Source organism: Homo sapiens, chromosome 3 (genome assembly GCF_000001405.40).
Source record: "Homo sapiens chromosome 3, GRCh38.p14 Primary Assembly".
NCBI classification, from domain to species: domain Eukaryota; kingdom Metazoa; phylum Chordata; class Mammalia; order Primates; family Hominidae; genus Homo; species Homo sapiens.
This window is the reverse complement of record NC_000003.12, coordinates 27,615,041-27,636,479: the sequence shown is the minus strand read 5'-3', so window position 1 is coordinate 27,636,479 and position 21,439 is coordinate 27,615,041. Positions and strand designations below refer to the sequence as shown.

Here is a 21,439-nt window from a genome sequence, read left to right as displayed (position 1 = left end):
CCGCAACCTCCGCCTCCTGGGTTCAAGCGATTCTCCTTCCTCGGCCCCCCAAGTAGATGGGACTACAGGTGTGCGCCACCCAGTTAATCTTTGTATTTTTAGTATTTTTGTATTTTTAATAATTTTTAGTTAATTTTTGTACTTTTAGTATTTTTGTATTTTTAATAATTTTTAGTTAATTTTTGTACTTTTAGTATTTTTGTATTTTTAATAATTTTTAGTTAATTTTTGTACTTTTAGTATTTTTGTATTTTTAATAATTTTTAGTTAACTTTTGTATTTTTAGTATTTTTGTATTTTTAATAATTTTTAGTTAACTTTTGTATTTTTAGTATTTTTGTATTTTTAATAATTTTTAGTTAACTTTTGTATTTTTAGTATTTTTGTATTTTTAATAATTTTTAGTTAATTTTTGTATTTTTAGTATTTTTGTATTTTTAATAATTTTTAGTTAATTTTTGTATTTTTAGTAATTTTTTGTATTTTAGTAGAGACAGGGTTTCACCATGTTGGCCAGGATGGTCTCGATCTCCTGACCTTGTGATCCACCCGCTTTGGCCTCCCAAAGTGCTGGGATCACAGGTGTGAGCCACCATGCCTGGCCACAAGATAAATGTTTTCTAAGTACTCTTCTGATTGTTTTAGAATGGATCCATGTCCACTTAGAGGCACACAGGCTCAAGGCACTCCAAGGGTTTAGTAGGGAAGCATTGACTAGTTGACTCTGCTGGAAAAGGTCTACCAAAAAAGCAAACCTGGCAAACCTTCTCCCAAATTCCCCATTCTCTGTGCAGTCTTTTTTTAGTCATGATCTGTGCTGCCAATATGATACCAGTCCCAAGGGATTCTCTCTCTGCTGCCACTTTAAAACCCTCATCTGGAAATGGTCAAAAGCCCCTTTTCTTGGTTATACTTAGCACAGAAAGGAGGGGAAAAAGAGAGAGTAGTGATAGAAATTCTTAAAGACATTATGGGAATCAGAGCCAAGTATCTGATCTGAAGGCAATACACTCCAACCCCAAAGCCTAGTATCATTTTCTTTTTTTTTTTTTGTAGTTTATGTAAAAATTTATTTGACCAAAATGTAGAAAAAGTGATACTATTACATATGATACAGTTGCAAGAATCTAAAGTAAAGTGTGGATTTTATTCCATTGCACAATTTGCTAGTGTATTTCCTGGGTAGTGTGGTGCTGAATAAATAGGAGTGGGGTGGTGAGGTGGGGTGGGTAAGGGATTCAGATAAGCCAGAAGCAGGGTGATTTTTAGTCGGAATTGCAAACTTTAGTCGGCCCCCACACGCTGCTGGGGAATGTGGAATGTTCCAGCTCTGAGATGTTAACTGAGAAAAGAGAAGTCAAACAAAGCCGATACGTGCAGCCCTGTCTACAGAATCCTTCATTACCCAGTTTAATCAGGAGTTTCTTGGTCTTTTATTAACTTGGTCCCAAAGAAGGAATTCAAGTCCTAGATAAGTAAATCTTCAATTTGCTATTCCCTGAAGTATGGAAATGAAGTCGGGCCAATTTTTAATCTCTGCTGCCAGAGAGGCCCTTTCTGCTAATAGATAAAAACTCTTTTGCTCAACTTAGTAATGACTTGTAGTCTTTTGGATATGGCTGATCTGAATTGGACTGAACTCCACCATATTCCTGGTGAGTGGGTCATTACTGGAATGAGACATTTGCTCTTCAGAGAACAACTTTATTTTAATTTTCCTTGAGATTGAGTCTCACTCTGTCGACCAGGCTGGAGTGCAGTGGTGCGATCTCCGCTCACTGCAATCTCCACTTCCTGGGTTCAAGCGATCCTCCTGCCTCAGCCTCCCGAGTAGCTGGGACTACAGGCAGGCGTCACCATAATTTTTGTATTTTTAGTAGAGGCATGGTTTCGCCATGTTGGCTGGGCTGGTCTCGAACTCCTGACCTCAAGTGATCTGTCCTGTTGGCTGGGCTGGTCTGGAACTCCTGACCTCAAGTGATCTGTCCTGTCCTCCCAAAGTGTTGGGATTACAGGCAAAAGCCACTGTGCCCGGCCAGAGAACAACTTTAGAATGAAGGAAATATGCAAAAGGACATCACATCAAGGATCTATTAATTACCATCTATTAATTACTATATGTGGGTAATTATGACTATTTCCCAAGCATTCTACGTTGACTGCTTGAGAGGATGTTTGTCCTGCATGGTGGAGAGTGGAGAAGGACCAGGATTCTTAGGTTAATCTATCTGTGGGTTATGACTTCCCACAATAGCCACCCCCGGCCCCCACCAGCCCTTTTATTGGCTCTGGATGGAAAATCCCTACCCATGTGATGGTCCCTGGTCTCTCCTATAGTTTGACCAACAGTTGACCCAAAAGGTTGTGGTCTTCAGCGTTTTAATCATATCCACGACTAGATACTGGGGTCTGTGTTCTTCAAAGTGTGGGGCTGCCTATTCTCCCAGGAACCAAATGGCCTCTGTCTTAAGAAACTATGCTTACTAGGAAATACCCTGCCTACCTTAGGAATAAATGCAACTTAAGGAAAAAATAAGAGAGCTGAAAAAGTTGGTGCCATTTGACAAAAAAAGGGAAGGCATGAGATTTAACTCGTGCTCAAAGCTTCTCCAATACAAAATATTTGGTCATGTATTCATAATTTGCTTGACATTTCCAGCAAAGCGAAGATGGCAATAACAAAAGGAACTTCTTACAAGAGAAGAGAAAGACCCACGGAGCTCCGGAGTTTCTGTTGGAACAAGACTCTTCTGTTTTGCTTATATACAGTTAAGCTCGTTTAGTGTCTGATCCAGTGTCTGATGTAAGCCCACGTTCTCTTCTTTGGCCTGGGCAAGTTTCTCTTCCAGGTCATCAATTGTCTTTTCCAGTTTTGCAACCGTTCTCTCTGCAAATTCAGCACGGGTCTCAGCCTCTTTCAGTTTGTCACACAGAAGTTTAATTTCTTCTTCACATTTGTCCTCCTTTTCAGAATACTTTTCAGACGCAGCCTCCAGAGATTTCAGATTGTTAGTAACATTCTTGAGTTCTTCTTCAAGGTCACCACATTTTAGTTCAGACACCTCCACACGCTCCTCTGCCCTCTCCAGCTCACCCTCCAGGAAGACCAGCTTACGAGCTACCTCCCAGTATTTGCGGTCAGCCTCTTCCGCAATGTGCTTGGCCTCTTTGAGCTGCAGCTCCTGAATTTCCATCTTCTCCTCATCCTTCATGGCCCGGTTTTCTATCACCTTCATTCCTCTCTCACTCTCATCTGCAGCTTTTTCTGCCTCCTCCAGCTTCTGCGGGGCCGTGGCCAGTCTTTCCTGAGCCCTGTCCAACTTCTCCTCAACGAGCTGGATGCGTCGGTTGAGGGCGGCCACATCACCTTTAGCTTTCTCGCGCCGCTCACACTCACCGCCCAGCTCCCGCTGCAGGCCCTGCGCGGTCTTACGCCTCGTCCGCCTGCTGCTGCAGGGCCTAGATCTGGCGTTTCACTGCCTCCAGGTAGCTGAGGCCGGCCATGGCGCGGAGGCAGCGGCGGCGCGGAGGCAGCGGCGGCGCGGAGGCAGCGGCGGCGCGGAGGCAGCGGCGGCGCGGAGGCAGCGGCGGACGCTCGGCTGGGCTCGGCTGGGCTCCGGCGAGAGCTGCACTGCCGCGCCCTGGCCCCCCAAGCCTTTGCCTGCGCGGGGGCCGCCCCCGCCTCTCCCCGCCCCCCGGGCCGGCTGCCGTCGGGGCGATGAGGTCGCCCGGCCGGACCGCCGACGTCAGCACCGCTGGCGGCTATCATTTTCTTAGGACGTGGTCTGACTTTCCTTTTTAACTCCAGCTTCCATTACGATTGGCATCATTTTATTTCTAGCACCCTGGAAGCTGTATCCACAACAATGAGACCTAGATATAAGTCCTCTAGACACCCCACGTTCTCCCAGTAAGTTCTGCTTTGCAGTTGGAGGGTATTTATGGTCAAGGCCAAATGGCAGACCAGCAAATGATCTCATTCTTCCTGGACCACCTTTGCCCACAGAAAAGCATTTTGTGATCCAGATGAGATCTATCTCTCCATATACAAAAAAAAAAAAAGGTTTTGTCCACATATATAAAATGGTCATAGTGACTCCTTAACCATAAAGTAACATATATAAGACACAAATTATCAAACCCTGATTACAGCTGAGTTATCACTAGGCGCATCAGGCGCAGCGCCTAAAACTCATGATAGCTTTAGAAATCAATAAAAACATTTTAATTTTAATTTCTTTTAAAATTGGAAGAAAAAATAAATATAATAATATGAATATGATAATAAAAGCCACCTGGATTTTATATATATACATATATATATATTTTTTTTTTTTTTTTTTGAGGTGGAGTCTTGCTCTTTCCAACAGGCTGGAGTGCAGTGGCGCGATCTCAGCTCACTGCAAGCTCCGCCTCCTGGGTTCATGCCATTCTCCTGCCTCAGCCTCCCAAGTAGCTGGGACTACAGGCGCCCACCACCACGCCCAGCTAATTTTTTGTATTTTTAGTAGAGACAGGGTTTCACCGTGTTAGCCAGGATGGTCTCCATCTCCTGACCTTGTGATCGGCCTGCCTCGGCCTCCCAAAGTGCTGGGATTGCATGCCTGAGCCACTGCGCCCGGCTGGATTATATTCATTTTATACTGGTATAGTCATAAAATATAATTTTAAATTTTTTTGGAAGGAAGAAAGTGGACCATGAAGGTAAAAATGCCTAGGGCATGTGAAAGTCATAATACAACCCTGGCTATAATCAGAGAGGGTCATTCTCTCAAAGTCTTCCACAACCTGGCCTCACCCCACATGTATAGCCTATGTCTAATTTTCCTCTGGTTGGGCCTTCTTGCTAATCTAGCTGGTTCTTCTCCAACTATTATTTGGGGGAGAGACCCAAGTCAAGCTTTCTTTTGTTAATGTGTCTTTATTCATTTCTTTTTCACATTTGGAAAGCTTTCTACCTTACTAACACAAACTCTACCCATTTTAATCCCATCTTCTTTCATAAGGCCTTCCCTAACTACAGCCGCCTACATGGATCCCTCTATTTTCTAACATTACAGTGCTTTTAATTTATTGTACCTGCCAGAATACAGGCAAACACAGGTGAGAAGCAATCGCCCATTTCTCTATGAGAAATCACCTCCACCAAAAGAAAAAGAGATTTGGCCAATTTAACATTATAAACTTTTAGTCATGTTGACGAAATAGGCAAATGTCTATTTCAATTTAAATTAACTCGAATGTATTAATTTAAATGCACAAAGGTTTTTAAAATAGCAATTGATAAAAAATCATGTCTTGATTTAGAAATACTGCTTTTTATTCTTATATCACATTCCGTGAGACAGTTTAAACAAAACTCCTAGGTGCAACTTAATTTCTTAGTCATCACTAAGGCCACATTTTGAGTCATCAAATGCAGTGTTCAGATGGTATCATCTTCACTTCCAGCTAAGTTCTTTACTTCCAGATAAGTAAGATTTCCTTTTCGAAATCCTGTATTGAGCTATTGCTAGAAAATTTATCCCAAACTATAAGTAGCTATTCACATATTAGGACTATTTGCTTATATTTATGATTTCCTCAATATAATTACTGAATTGCCTTTTTAAAAAATCTTGGTTTAAACTATCTTCTTTATAATACAGCCAACATCTTTAACTGAGAGGCTATAACCTTTGGAATAATTACCATATCTTTGTTAAACCTCTGCATTCCTTTTTGAAACAACTTTATCACTTGATATCTATAAACATGTCAAGCTAGTATTGACTGAAGTGGTTTCAGGTTAATATGTTATTCTCCATCAATAATTTGTTGTTCAAAATGAAGTCATTGAGACAGAGCCCATAATGTGAAAGACTTATAAGGACTAGAATTTAAGTCCAGTTACTCCTTTTCTGAAAGATAATTTTGGGGATAAGATTTTGCTGGCCGGGCGCGGTGGCTCACGCTTCTAATCCCAGCACTTTGGGAGGCCGAGGCGGGCGGATCACGAGGTCAGGAGATCAAGACCACGGTGAAACCCCGTCTCTACTAAAAATACAAAAAAAAAAAAAAAAAATTAGCCGGGCTTGGGGGAGGGTGCCTGTAGTCCCAGCTACTTGGAGAGGCTGAGGCAGGAGAATGGCGTGAACCCAGGAGGCGGAGCTCGCAGTGAGCCGAGATCGCGCCACTGCACTCCAGCCTGGGCGACAGAGCGAGATTCCGTCTCAAAAAAAAAAAAAAAAAAAAAAAAAAGATTTTGCTTTGTATTTAAACCTATCTGTGTGTCCTACCATTTAACTATTTGTCACAATTTGGTAATTATTTCAGATGTATCGGTCTTTTCTCAAACGGATTGCTTTTATTTTCCACTTTTTATGATAAAATTTTAAAACGTACACAAAAACACAGACCCTAGCTTAATGAGCCAAATATACCCATAACCCAGCTTCAACAATAATCAGTAGATGGCCAGTCTTATTTCACGTATATCCCCACTCAGTCCCCACACTTTTATTATTTTGGTGCAAATTCCAGACTCTACTAATATCTTAAAAAAATCCCGCCACTTCCAAACCTAAAAAATTAATGATAATTCTTTACTATAATCAAATAACCAGTGTTTGAATTTTTACATATTGCTTTTATATTTTCTTTATTTCATTCCACATCAGGATAATGTCTATGCATCATGATTGTTTGGTCTCATTTCTTTTAAACTATCTATCCTTCTTCCATCTCTTTTTTTCTTCTCTCTTTGCAGTTTTTTTTGTTGAAGTCACTTGAATCATTTGATAGGAAACATTTCCTACAGTCTGTATCTTGCTTGCTGCATCCCTGTGGTACCATTTAACACGTTTCTCTGTGTCTCATATTTCCTGTAAATGTGCAGTCAGATCAGGAGGCTTGATCAGATTTAGCCTCAATTATTATTTTTTTTGGCAAGACAACACCATAGGTGGTGCTGTGTCTTTTTCCTGGAAAGTGCGTAATGTCTGATTGTCTCCTTTTTGGTGATGTTATCAACCCCTAGTGATCATTGCCTAGATCCAGTAATTCAAATGGTGATATTCTAACTCTATCACTCATTCTTTATTTATTAGCTGGAATTTCTCTGTAAAGAAAAATTTCCCATATCAACTATTTGGTTATTTTTTGCATAGTGAAGGCAAGATAAACATTTTATTCATTTGTCTGTTTAAAAATTAATGAAGTTGTTTCCTAGCATTCTTCAAAGATATTCAATGTTAATGCGATGGGGTTTTTTAGTGAACTTACAGATTTAAACATATCTGAGAATTTTAAGTCATTATTGATGTTCAATTTGTTTCGTCTTTGACCAGTGGGAGCCTACTAAGTACGGCATCTAAGTCTTTTTAACATGACCCTCGTAGTCTTTAAGAGCTGCCTTGCTTTATGGCATGACAAAGTGTGGTAGGCTTATTTTTATATGGAAATGTACAATGATTCCGGTTGGAATTAGCCATTTCTTCAGGGAGTCACAATCTGGGTGCTAGGCCTACCCTTCGGCAATAATTGGTTACTGTTGCTAGTCCTTTTCAGTGGACAGAACAAAAAATATAAATTTATTTTATGTAAACTTTCTTGAGGTATAATTCATATACAATAAAATTCACACATTTTAAGTATACAGGTAAAGACTTGACAAAGTAGAAACCCATCCAAGCAGCACCCCAATAAACATATAGAAAATTTCCATCACTTCAGAAAATATCTTTATGCCCGTTTGTAAATCCCTTCTATCAGGCAGTTACTGGTCACTATATGTTGGTTTTAGCTACAGAAATTTATATAAATGCAACCATGCAGTATGTACTGTTTGGTGTCTGACTTCTTTTGTTTAGCATGTTTTAAAGATGTGTCCACGATGTTGCCTGTATCAATAATACATTCATTTTTGTGGATGAGTAATGCTCCATTGTGTAAATATACTGTAATTTGCTTATCTGTTTATCTGTTAATGGATATATTTGATTTGTTTCCAATTTGGGACCATTATGAATAAAGCCGTAACTATGTGCATACAGGTCTATTATTGAGCATAACTTTTTGTTTCTCTTGAATAAATAGCTAGAAATAGAACAGCTAGATCATATGGTAAGGGTAGTATATGCTTAACTTTATAAGAAACGGTCACATTGTTTTCCAAAGTAGTTATGCTATTTAACACTTCTAATAAAAATGTATGGGTGCTCCAGTTACACCACATCCCTGCCAAAATTTGGTATTACAAGAACTTTTTATTTTAGCCTTTGTAGCCGGCAGGAAGTGAAATCTCATTGTGGTTTTAACTTATATTTCCCTTATAAACAATTTGTCATATGCTATTTGGCTATATATATGTTTGTGTGTGTGTGTGTGAAATGTCTGTTTAAGGCTTTTGCCCATTTTTTTTTTAACAAATTGAACTTATTTGTTTATTTGTTTAATGTGCCAGCATTTTGCTGGGAGTTACAGGGGATAGAAAAAAGTTAATTTGTAATAATCAGATTGTATCATTTTTATTTGACCTAACCCTACTTTTTAATGGGGTTTTGTCTCTATGTGTGTCTCTCTCTATGTGTATCTCTCTCTTTTTTGGTGTTGGGTGATGAGGTCCTGCTCTGTCACCCAGGTTGGAGTGCAGTGGCATAATCTTAGCTCACTTCAAACTTGACCTCCTGAGCTCAAGCAATCCTCCTGAGTAGCTGGGATTACAGGTGGGAGCCACTGAGTTCAAGCAGTTCTCCTGCCTCAGCCTTCCAAGTAGCTGGGATTACAGGCACGCACCACCATGCCTGGCTAATATTGTATTTTCAGTAGAGATGGGGTTTCACCATGTTGGTCAGGCTGGTCTTGAACTCCTCTTCCTCAGGTGATCCACCCGCCTTAGCCTCCCAAAGTGCTGGGATTACAGGCATGAGCCACCGCACCCGGCCTCCTTTTTCTTTTAATAATTTTGTATAAGATTCCACCATGGTTTGTTTCTGTTTATAACTTTTTAAGTGAAATAAATTTTCCTCTGTGTTAGGATGGAGGAGTGACAGTATAGCTTTTCTAGCTTCAGAGCTCTAGAGCTCTTCTACTGTTTTTACAAAGTGTTTAAAAAAACAAATAGTCCTAGCACAGTGGCTCACACCTGTAATCCCAGCACTTTGGGAGGCCGAGGTGGGAAGATGGCTTGAGTCCAGGAGTTTGAGACCAGCCTGGCCAACATGGTGAAGTCTCGTCTCTACTAAAATTACAAAAATTAGCCAGAGGTGGTGGCATGAGCCTGTAGTCCCAGGTACTCGGGAGGCTGAGGCAGGAGAATCACTTGAACCAGGGAGGCGAGGGTTGCAGTGAGCCAAGATCATGCTACTGCACTCCAGCCTGAGCAACTGCAAGATTCTGTCCCCCACCCCCAAAACAAACAAACGAACGAAAACAACTCTGTGTGTGTATGTGAAACTTTAAATTTTCTAGACCTGATCATGTCTGGATTGCTTTCTTCCCTACTTGTATCCGAACCTTTTTGTCCCATGCCCTACTGTCCTGGCCCTGCTCAGTTTGGATTACGTCCAGCATTTTCTCCTCACTGCCGAACTTTGTCTTGGAAGGGAGCTCCTGTTTGTGTTTCAAGAGCATTCGGGGCCCCAGTGACTCCAGCACTGTCAGATCCGACTGCTTTGCCATCTCCTTGCATGCACACTCAAATTGGATCTTGTAGAACGCCATTCCAGTGTAGTGGCTATTTTCAGATTGACCTGCCTTGCTTTCTGGTGAGTGTCCACTGGTGACTTAGTGCTTTCCTTTTCTCATGACTGTCAGAAACCCAGTCACCTTCCCTCTGTTTCATCCCAGTTTCTTATCCCACATGGGTCTTGCAGCTTTGGATAGTTTGTCCTTGCCCACAGTGTCTAGGAGTTGTGAGAATACCTTGCTATGCAGTTTTATTGTAAATGTTGCTACAGGTGATTGATTTAGATAGCCTAACTGCTCTGTCTGTTCATTTGAGAAATTCAGAGAAATTCAAAACCACCATAAACATTTTGTCACAGTGCTAGGCACAGAGCAGATAATCTGATGTTTGCTGACTGATGAAAGTTTATAGAAAATGTTCTGTTGTTGTGTAACAAATTACCATAAATTTAGTGCTTTAAAACAACACATATTTATAATCCCACAGTTCCTGTAAGTCAGAGCCACAGCTTAGCAGGGTTCTCTTTTTCGGGGTCTTCACCACACTGTAATCCAGGTGTCAGCCAGGGTTGCAGCCTCAATAGAGGCTCAAATGGGAGAAGATCCACTTCCAAGCTCCCTCGGGTTGTTAGCAGAATTCATTTGTAGGACTGAGATCCCATTTCCTTGCTGGCTGTCAGCCAGGGGCTGCAGTCAGCTCCTGAAGGCCCCCATGGTTCCTTGCCTCACAGCCCTCTCCATAGGCCCTCTCACATCGTGACAGCTACTAAAGCCAGCAATAGAGAGCCTGTCTCTGATGTATGCTAGCAAGATGAGCCATATATATGTCATAACATAATCACAGGAGAGACATGCCATTAGCCTTGTCACAGCCTATTGATTAGAAGCAAGTAGTAGGTTTCTCCTACACGGAAGGAGAGAGGATTGTTCAGGGAAAGAACATGGGGCCACTCTAGAGTCTGTCCACCACGGTTCACATCTGCCTTGAGACCTGGTTTACCCTCTATATTTGTTTTTTTGTTTGTTCGAGACAGAGTCTCACTCTGTCACCCAGACTGGAGTGCAGTGGCACCATCTTGGCTCACTGCAACCTCTGCCACCTGGGTTCAAGTGATTCTCCTGCCTCAGCCTGCTGAGTAGCTGTGATTATAGGCACCTGCCACCATGCCTGATTAATTTTTGTAGTTTTTTTTTTTTTTTAGTAGAGACAGGGTTTCACCATTTTGGTCAGGCTGGTCTTGAACTCCTGACCTTGTGATCCACCCGCTTCAGCCTCCCAAAGTGCTGGTATTACAGGCGTGAGCCACCGCACCTGGCCTACCCTCTTTATTTGTTAAGACAAAAAGGTTTCTGCTGATAGACTGCCAGTGGTGACTTTTAGCTTAATTTCGTGGCAAAGGATAATAAATTCAACTGTAATAGTGAAATATACAATTCAAATAGAAACTTTAACATCAATAACTTGAAAATCCTATTATAGAAAAGTTACTTTGATTCCTTGCCCTTCTCTATGAAATGGACATGGGTGTCTCTATCGCTCCCAACCTCACAGAGAAAAAATTAAATGATGCTTTTTAGTATCCAGAGGAAAAATAAGATTTCATATGCATCTTAGGCATTTTTAACCTATTTTGTGTCACCTGTGCTTGTGTATACTTTTGGAGTACTTCAGAGAACACATGTCCAAGGATGAAATAGTACCAAAAGCAATGGTTTCAATACTCCAATAAATCAGACCACCCGGGTAACCATTTGGGGAAGAATCAAAAGACTTGTATTTTGGAAACCACATTTTTTGGTGCTAATGATAAAGGAAATGATCTTATTTCCTATGCCAGACCAGCTAAGGGTTTAATGAACAAACACACAGTTTCATTACTTTTGCTTCTGTTCTAACAACTGAGAGTATCCATCAGATTCACCTTTGCTTCTCCACTTGCTCATTCTGTCTTCTGTTTTCTTCATCTCATTATTTTTCTGGTAAGCAAAAAAGGGGTAGGAAAAAGTGTACCTCTGGTGAAGATAGATAATCATTTTTTGGGAATGATATTCTGTATGCTTAGAAGCATTCAGCTGTTGGAGTGAGGGATTCTCCTCCCCTGCTTCACTGTAGGAGAAACACTGAATAACCTTCATTTGGTGGATGACCATGGATGCTGTGTGCTATGGTGAAGCTGTTTCTTCCCAGCAGCAGGGAGAGAGTGAGGATAGGGAACTCAGGAATATAGTATACAATATATGGGTACAGATTGTGCAGGATGCCCTCTCTCCTGAATTCCTGATTCCCTTCCTTGTGAGAACAGCAATAATAATAATCAGAGTTGCCTTTCCAGTGGTGACAACCTACCCACAAGAACCTACCCCTTGCAAAGGATCTTCTTCATCCCTCTCCAGAAAAGGAGAAGAGGAAACACAAGAAGAAATGCGTGGTGCAGAGCCTCAATTCCTACTTCATGGATGTGAAATGCCCAGGATGCTATAAAATCACTACAGGTCTTTAGCGATGCACAAATTGTAGCTTTGTGTGTTGGCTGCTCCATTGTCCTCTGCCAGCCTACGGAGTAAAAGCAAGGCTTACAGAAGGATGTTCCTTCAGAAGGAAACAGCACTAAAAGAACTCTGAATCAAGATGAATGGGAAACCATCTCAATAAACACATTTTGTATAAAATAATCATAATAATTATCAGCTAACATTTATTGAATAATTATACCAGGAGTGATATTCAAAATATTTAACAGCTGAAACAGCACAGGTATCAACCAATCAGAATGAATACTGGCCATAACGGCATCCACTCTGATTAGTCCATGCCCTCACCATGTCAGTTCTTAAATATTTTGACAACAGACTATTTGGATATTTGGGGCCTGCCAATGTCAACCCTGTTTTACTACACGCCAGGCACTGTGCCAAGCACCTTAAGTACCTTTGCTCATTGAATCCTCCTTCCCACCTGCTCTACAAGATGGATACTCTTATTATTCCAACTTGGAAGATGGGGAAACTGAGACTTAAAGAAGTAGCATGACTTGTCCCGTGTCACATAGCTGAGAGGCAGAGGGACACTGGACTTACACCCTGGTCTTCTGACCTACAAGTCCAAGCCATTAAGTTCTACATTCTAGTAACTCTTGAGGAAGCCACACCCTACAGCTCCCTCAGCCCTTACGAGAAAGATACACTTTAAAAATATGAAGGCTGAACTTTATCACCCTGCTCTTAGTGACAAGGAAAGTAGCCCTTGGCCAATCCAAAAAGGAAAGCAATGCAAACAGCTTGGTAAAAATGACAGAATGAGGAATAGGCCTCAGGGGCCAGGCCTACTCAGGAAATTGTTCTGAACTTGATCCAAGGTCCCTGGAGTACCACTGAAGCCCAAAGTCCAGACCAGACTTCCAGCCTGAGGGGGCATTTTTCAGATAATTGTCACAAATCCTAACTCCAACTTCCTCTCACCATTAAGAGAATTCTAACTGTTTGGGGCTTTTGAAGTGTGTTTATTTAGAGCAAAACAAACAAGTGGGTCCTGGAGAGGAGGCAAACGGAGCTTATGTCATTGTCTTTCCTGACTAGATGACTGGCTATTTGGTTGAACTTTTTTTGTTCCTCAGCCGGTAGTGACTCCACGTCACTGCCTGTGAGCCAATCTTGATAGTGACACATTACTATTTCCAGAAATTGTGTTTTTCAGCATGACATACAGGACTGAAGAAGTCCACATGCCCAACACCCTACCTTGAGTAGTCTTTGGATTATGTGGCATCCCCAGATATCCCCCTTGTCCCTTTCCCTCCCATCCAAGAAAGCATGTAAGAATGCAGAGAATGAGAGAAGTCTTAATAGAGGAATCCACTTGGACACAGTTCTTAACCTCTTTGAGCCTCAGTTTCCACAGCTGTAAAATATAATTGAAACGTTATATGTTTGGAGGTAGTGTGGGGTGAGGGCACGGAAGAAGTCATGATTAGTCAGAGCAAATCTTTATCCCAACTTCTTCACAACACTCATACACAGACTAGAATAGATCCCTGAATTGCAAAAAAATGAGTTACTAACAAGAAAGAAGTACCAATATTAATATAATAGTAGTAGTATTACTACTACTACTATTACTACCACCAACAATAATTAAATAGTAACAGCAACAATGATTAAATGATAACAGTTACTATGCATTGAGCTTTTACTGAGTGCAAGGCATTGTGCTAAAAGAGATATACCTTGTATCTCATTAGTTCCTATGAAATTAGACTTTGTATGGGCATGTTTTACCACTTCTCTGGGGTGGAGGCAAAGACACTGGGTCCTAGGATGGAGGATCCAGATCTAGGTGATCTATGTAGAGAACAAGAGTCTACCAGCCTCCACTGGCCAGCATGAGTATCATCTGCTGTTGGCACCAGGAAGCTGTGTGGGCCTAGCCAGCATTGTCCAACTGCTAGTTTCCATTCTAGTGAGAAGCATTGTCTGTGCTGAGGAGCTGGACTAGCTCTTCTGCCTGATGGTGTCTGAGGGGAACAGCCCATCCTCAGCATCCAGCTTGGATCATCATCTAGCAGAAGTGATGTCTGTCTGGCCTCAAGACATGCAGGGCTCATGTGACACGTTCCACTTGGACTCACAAGCTCCCTCTCTTATGATAGAAGGTGAGGTCATAGACACCAGGAGGGTTTAGAGAGGTGTGGAGAACTTTTGATGGGCCTGTATATCTTCCTTGGAGCTAGAGCAGTGGCAGAGTACATCTACATCTACTCACGAAGTTGTTTTGAGAAACAAATGAGCTCTGAGATATATGCTATTGACCACAGTCTCTGGAACATCATAAATACTCAATAAACAGCAATGTATTATTAATAAATAATAACAATAATATAAGAATAAACAGAATGCAAGCATTGGTACTTTATTAGTAACATACTGCCAACACTCCTCACAAACAATTATGACAAAGACCATTTCACCATTCTGTTCAAGAACCCATGCTCTACAGAAGCAAAGGACCTCTTCAAGGACAACTACAAACCACTGCTCAAAGAAGCAGAAAGGACACAAACAAATGAAGAAACATTCCATGCTCATGGATAGTAAGAATCAATATCATGAAAATGGCCATACTGCCCAAAGTAACTTATAGATTCAATGCTATTCCCATTAAACTACCATTGACATTCTTCATACAATTAGAAAAAAAATGATTTTAAAGTTCACATGGAACCAAAAAGAGCCCAAATAGCCGGGACAATCCTAAGCAAAAAGAACAAAACTGCAGGCATCATGCTACTCAGCTTCAAACTATACTACAAGGCTACAGTAACCAAAACAGCATGGTACTGGTATAAGAACAGTCACATAGAGCAATGGAACAGAATAGAGAACTTAGAAATAAGACCATATGCCTACAACCATCTGATCTTCAACAAACTTGACAAAAACAAGCAATAGGGAAAGGACTCCCTATTTGATAAATGGTGCTGGGATAACTGGGTTGCCATATGCAAAAAATTGAAACTAGACCCCTTCCTTATACGTTATACAAAAATTAACTGAAGATAGGTTAAAGACTTAAACATAAAACCCAAAACTATAAAAACCCTAAAAGAAAATCTAGGCAATATCATTCAGGACATAGGCATGGCCAAAGATTTAATGATGAAAACACCAAAAGCAATTGCAACAAAAGCAAAAATTGACAAATGGGATCTAATTAAACTAAAGAGCTCCTGAACAGCAAAAGAAATTATCATCAGAGTACACAGACAACCTCCAGAATGGGAGAAAATTTTTGATTGCAATCTATACATCTGACAAAGGTCTGATATCCAGAGTCTACACGGAATTTAAACAAATTTACAACAAAAAAACAAACAACCCCATTAAAAAGTGGCCAAAATATATGAATAGACACTTCTCAAAAGAAGACTCATGCAGCCAACAAACATATGAAAAAAAGCTCAACGTTACTGATCATTAGAGAAAAGTAAATCAAGATCACAATGAGATACCATCTCACACCAGTCAGAATGACTATTATTTAAAGGTCAAAAAACAGCAGATGCTGGTGAGGTTGTGGAGAAAGAGGAACGTTTTTACACCATTGATGGGAATGCAACTTAGTTCAACCACTGTGGAAGACAGTGTGGCGATTCCTCAAAGACCTACAGGCAGAAATACTGTTTGACCCAGCAATCCCTTTACTGGGTATTTACCTAAAGGAATATAAATTATTCTGTTATAAAGATGCATGCACGCATATGTTCATTGCAGCACTATTTACAATAGTAAAGTCATGGAATCAACCTAAATGCCCAATAATGATAGACTGGATAAAGAAAATGTGATATATATACACCATGGAATACTATGCAGTCATAAGAAGGAATGAGATCATGTTCTTTTCAGGGACATAGATGAAGTTGGAAGCCATTATCCTCAGCAAACTAATGCAGGAACAGGAAACCAAACACCACACGTTCTCACTTCTAAGTGGGAGCTGAATGATGAGAACACATGTTCACATAGTGGGGAACAACATACACTGGGGCCTGTCAGAGAGTGTGGTGGGGGGAGGGAGGACATCAGGAAGAATACCTAATGGATGCTGGGCTTAATACCTAGGTGATAGGATTATCTGTGCAGAAAACCGCCATGTTTGCAGGTAACAAACCTGCACATCCTGCATATATACGCCTGAACTTAAAACAAAGTTGAAGATAAATAATTAATTAAATAATTAAAGTAAAGAACAAATGAGTAGGGGGAAGAAAAAGAACCCATGCTTTGGATAGTGAAGGCAACCTGTGAACGCAGAGGCTTGGAGTCAATTTTCTGGCCTGAGCTATGCCTGGTCTTAGACAGCATTATTGGGTGCAGCCTCAAAAGAGAAGTTCTGTGTCTACTAACAGCCAGTGAGAAATACCCTAATAAACTGGTCACAGTACCATAATACAAGCAGCCAATGGTGACCCAGTGCGGACATGAAATATTGTATCTCATCAGCACCCAGTCTGTATGTTGACAGTGCCATGTTACATAGCCATTTTCTCTCCATAGTTATGTTAAATTACTCAGGTTGAATTCATTTACTCATTTTTTTCTTTTTTGAGACGGAGTCTCACTCTGTCACCCAGGCTGGAGTGCAATGGCGCCATCTAGGCTCACTGCAACCTCTGCCTCCCGGGTTCAAGCAATTTTCCTGCCTCAGCCTCCTGAGTAGCTGGGATTTGGGATTACAGACACCCACCACCACGTCCGGCTAATTTTTGTATTTTAATAGAGAAGGTGTTTCGCCATGTTGGCCAGGCTGGTCTCGAACTCCTGACCTCAAGTGATCCACCTGCCTTGGTCTCCCAAAGTGCTGGATTACAGGCATGAACCACCTTACCTGGCCTCATTTGCTCATGTTTTTAGTCTACAGTGAGCCCATTTTCTTACCCTTGGTGTAAGTCTTTGAGTCTTAGAGCTAGAACAGGCCTGCGAGTTCATTAGTCTGGTGCTGTCTAATAGAACTAACTGCAGTGATAGGAATATTCCATATCTTCACTGTCCAGGATTGTAACCACTAGATATAAGTGGCTATTGAACCCTTCAAATGTAGCTAATGTGACTGAAAAACTGAATTTTAAACTTAAAAAAAAATTAATCCATTTTAATTTAAATAACCATATGCTGCTAGAGCTATCTATTGGACAGAAAAGATTTAGTCCAATTCTTTCATTTTGTGGATGAGTTCCAGAGATGCTAGTGACCTCCACATGATCGCTCAGCTGGTTAGAGCCAGTGCAATGCATAGGAAACACTGATTGCCAACTCAGATGTTTTGTCAAACACATTATGTTTCCATTTATTTGTCCCCAGGTGGAAATGGCTTTCTATATATCCACTCAGGTTGGTAGGGAGGGAAGGTGGGTAGATGGATAGATGCAAACTACTTTTGTTGTCTTGGTCGACCATCTGTAGAAACTTTATTTTTTTTTTTTTAATAGATGAAGGTCTTACTGTGTTGCTCAGGCTGGTCTCAAATTCCTGGGCTCAAGTGATCCTCCTACTTCAGCATCCCTAGTAGCTGGGATTACAAGCATGCCTGGGGTTCAACATAAAAACATTTCTGAGGAGACAGAAAGAATAAGAAGCATCCCATTTTAAATACTGTGAAGAACCAAGAGTAGTTAAGGAAAGATGGGGATCAGGGTGGTAAAATGTGGTTTTGGCTTTGTCACATTGTAAATAAACACTGACAACTCATGTTGGTTTTGTTTGTTTGTTTTTTTAGTTAAGTTTTGTAGGATGAACCTCTATAGTGAAAAAATAAATGAGTTAAATACTGTCGAGGGCTCACTATGTAGAAGGCCTAGTGTTAACTACCATGGGCAATTTCTAAAAACCATAAAATAGAGTTCCTCCCTTCGAAGAACACACAATTTAATTGAGAAGACATGACATGCAAGCAATAAAAGCTAAAAAATAGTATCAGGCTTTAAATAATTGTTAAATGTCATTGTGGAGAGTGGCCTCATTGCAGGTTTGGGAGACAGAAATGGGTAGTTCCTTGCTTCTGAGAATGTATTCCAACCCTTTGCTTATTTCATAAGTACCTTTCACTTCCATTTAGGGACATTAGCAGTGTCCGATTTTTGTTGTTGTTGTGTTGTTTTGGTTTGGTTTGGGGGGTTTTTTGAGACAGAGTCTTGCTCTGTTGCTCTGGCTGGAGTGCAGTAGCGTGATCTCGGCTCACTGCAACCTCCAGCTCGTGGGTTCAAGCTATTCTCTTGCCTCAGCCTCCCAAGAAGCTGGGACTACAGGCATGCACTACCACCCCCAGCTAATTTTTGTATTTTTTTAGTAGAGACAGGGTTTCACCATGTTAGCCAGGCTGGTCTCAAACTCCTGACCTCAGGTAATCAGCCCGCCTCAGCCTCCCAAAATGCTGGGATTACAGGCATGAGCCACCTTGCCCGGCCAGGTCTTTATCCATAATATGCTCAGGGGACGCCAAGAGCCCACAGCCAGGAAGCAGGAATGGGGTAGAACGTGGTCTCAGATCAGAACCCCTCCTGGCTGTGTGGCCCTCATCTGGTAACTTTGCATCCTGCGACTTCCTTTTCTCATCTGTCTAAGGGAAGAGTAACTTCAACTGTACAGGTTGTCATCAGCATTTATCAGCCCACCTATTGATTCATCCACACCCTATCCCACTTGTAAATGCAGACTGTCAATGCCACCATTACTTGAAATTTGGTTCTCCTGTGCTTCTTCTTTGGATATTTAATTCTTGCACTGGTATTGGGCCCCTGGTTGTCTCCTGCCAATTCAAGCTTGGCCTATTTCTCCAGCTTTTCCTTCTCTCATGAAAGGAAAATAGATCTGGATAAGATTAAATGATAAATTGAGTGCAGGTGACATAGTACTTGGCACAAAGTTAGCATTTAATAAAAATAAGTAGAATAGCTGTTAACGTTTATTAAATTCTCATTATGTGCCAGACATTGTTCTAAGCACTCTATGTGTGTTAACTCATCTAGTGCCTGGAGACAAGATTCAAGTACAAGTGTTATTAAGACAATGCTTCTGGGAATAACCTGTAAGAGAGTGGGGGAAGCAGGAAGCAAAGATAAAAAAGAAAAAAAAAAAGCAAAATAGGTGCAATTTCAGGCAATATCCCACAGAGAGGTGGCTTCAGTCTAATTTCTCAGAGGAGTCCTGGAGTGTAACTTATGCCCCAGTGCTTGGTTTCTGAGCTTTCAAATGCAGGTCCCTGCCATTCATTGGCTAAAAACCAGGATAAGGTAAACTCTCAGGCACTTCTGGCTCTCTGACCTTATGGGATAATGGGCCCACCAAGCAAAAATACAGGAGCAGGAGAAGGGATGCGAAGAAAATGATAAAAGGATGCTGAGATATTGGGCCAGAATACTAATAATGTCTGCTGCAAAGCCTCACAGTAACAACAAAAACTCTAGTGAACACATATTTCAGGCTGGGCACGGTGGCTCATGCCTGTAGTTCCAGTACTTGGGAGGCTGAGGTGGGTGGATTGCTTGAGCTCAGGAGTTCGAGACCAGCCTGGGCAATATGACGAAACCCCAGTTCTATTAAGCAAACAAACAAATTTAAAAATCCATTTAACAGATGAGGCACAGGAGTTTAAGTAATTTGCTCTGAAAAAAATTAGCCGGGAATGGTGGTGCGCATCTGTAGCCCCAGCTACTCTGGAGACTGAGGCAGGAGGATCACTTGAACCCAAGAGACGAAGGCTGCAGTGAGCCGAGATAGCACCACTGCACTCCAGCCTGGGCGACCAAGTGAGACTCTATCTCAAAAAAAAGTTTTAAATATTAAAAATAATAAATAAATAAATTGCTCCAGTCACATAGCTAGTAAAGGGAAATAAGAATTCAAACCTAGGCAGCCCAGCTCCCAAGTTTGTGCCCTTCATCTCAGTGCAGTACCAGCCAGCTGTCCTAGCCACACCACATTCTCTTTTCAGACAGAATGCCTACATGTTGGTCTGTGGTACAGACATCTGGAAACACGCTAAACTGAACCAAATTGTTGCTTCATCTGGGAGGTCCTTTGCCATCCTGACTTTTCTCAGCCTCCATCACGGTAATGTAATCAGGATGCTTTTCATCCCTAGCAGTTTCTAATTCCTGCAATTTTCCCCTTAATGGCTCTCCGGATGTTGCCACTGATTATGGTGCCGTTCATGGCTCTTCAGCAGGTGCTGGGCATAGGCACCAGGTGCAGGCTTCTGAGAGCTCTGCTTTTGATTTGAAACAAATTTCATTTTATTTCAACATTTCAAAAAAATTCCTCTCCCTTCAACATGTTATTAAATCACTTTTTTTCTGGAAAGACTTTGGCTACAATTTTTTTTCTATAAAAATAGAGCCAAAGTATTTCCTCCTGGATTAAGTAATTAGAGAAAGGAAAGGTATGAACTTTATATTCTCTTCAAAGTGGCTGCACAATGTGCATTGGTGTTTGGCAGCAGTTGAGGTTCATTTGGCATTTGATTTCACAACTTTTGGCCCTGGGGACAATAGACTATGACCTTCTATGACATAATTGATGGGATAACAATAAAATTTTATTTAATATGTTGATTAAATGTTCCAGATTAAACACATATTACTTTTTATATGTTACTGATTACTTTTTATAATCAGATAAACAACAATAAGTATGATAAAGCATTGATGCTGGTAACTACAGACAGTGGAGAGCCAGGTTTCTCAATCTTGGCGTTATTGACATTTTAAGCTAGGCAATTCTTTATTGTCTGTCCTGTGAATTGTATAATGTTTAGCAGCATCTCTTGCTGATAGTGACAGGAGGCAGCCAAATGCACAGGGACAGGCCTCCAGTGAAACCCCATCTTCAAGCCAAAAACAGCCTGAAGGCTGAAAGACCAGACTGCTGGTCCCAGATGAAACCTGCAACTCACAGTGAGAACTTCTGTTCCCGTTTGCTCACCCTTTCCGATTGATTCTTTTCTTATTTTGAGACAAAGTTTCACTCTTGTTGCCTAGGCTAGAGTGCATAGCACAATCTTGGCTCACCACAACCTCTGCCTCCCAGGTTCAAGTTATTCTTCTGCCTCGGGTTACCGAGTAGCTGGGATTATAGGCATGCACCACCACGCATGGCTAATTTTGTATTTTTAGTAGAGATGGAGTTTCACCATGTTGGTCAAGCTAGTCTTGAACTCCTGACTTCAGGTGATCCGCTCACCTCAGCCTCCCGAAGTGCTGGGATTTCAGGTGTGAGCCAC

General features: G+C 41.2%; 2 pseudogenes; one reads left to right on the top strand and one right to left on the bottom strand.

The window, feature by feature from the left end:
• On the bottom strand, positions 1,463–3,669 carry TPM4P2 (TPM4 pseudogene 2; annotated as a pseudogene).
• On the top strand, positions 11,991–12,335 carry RPS27P11 (ribosomal protein S27 pseudogene 11; annotated as a pseudogene).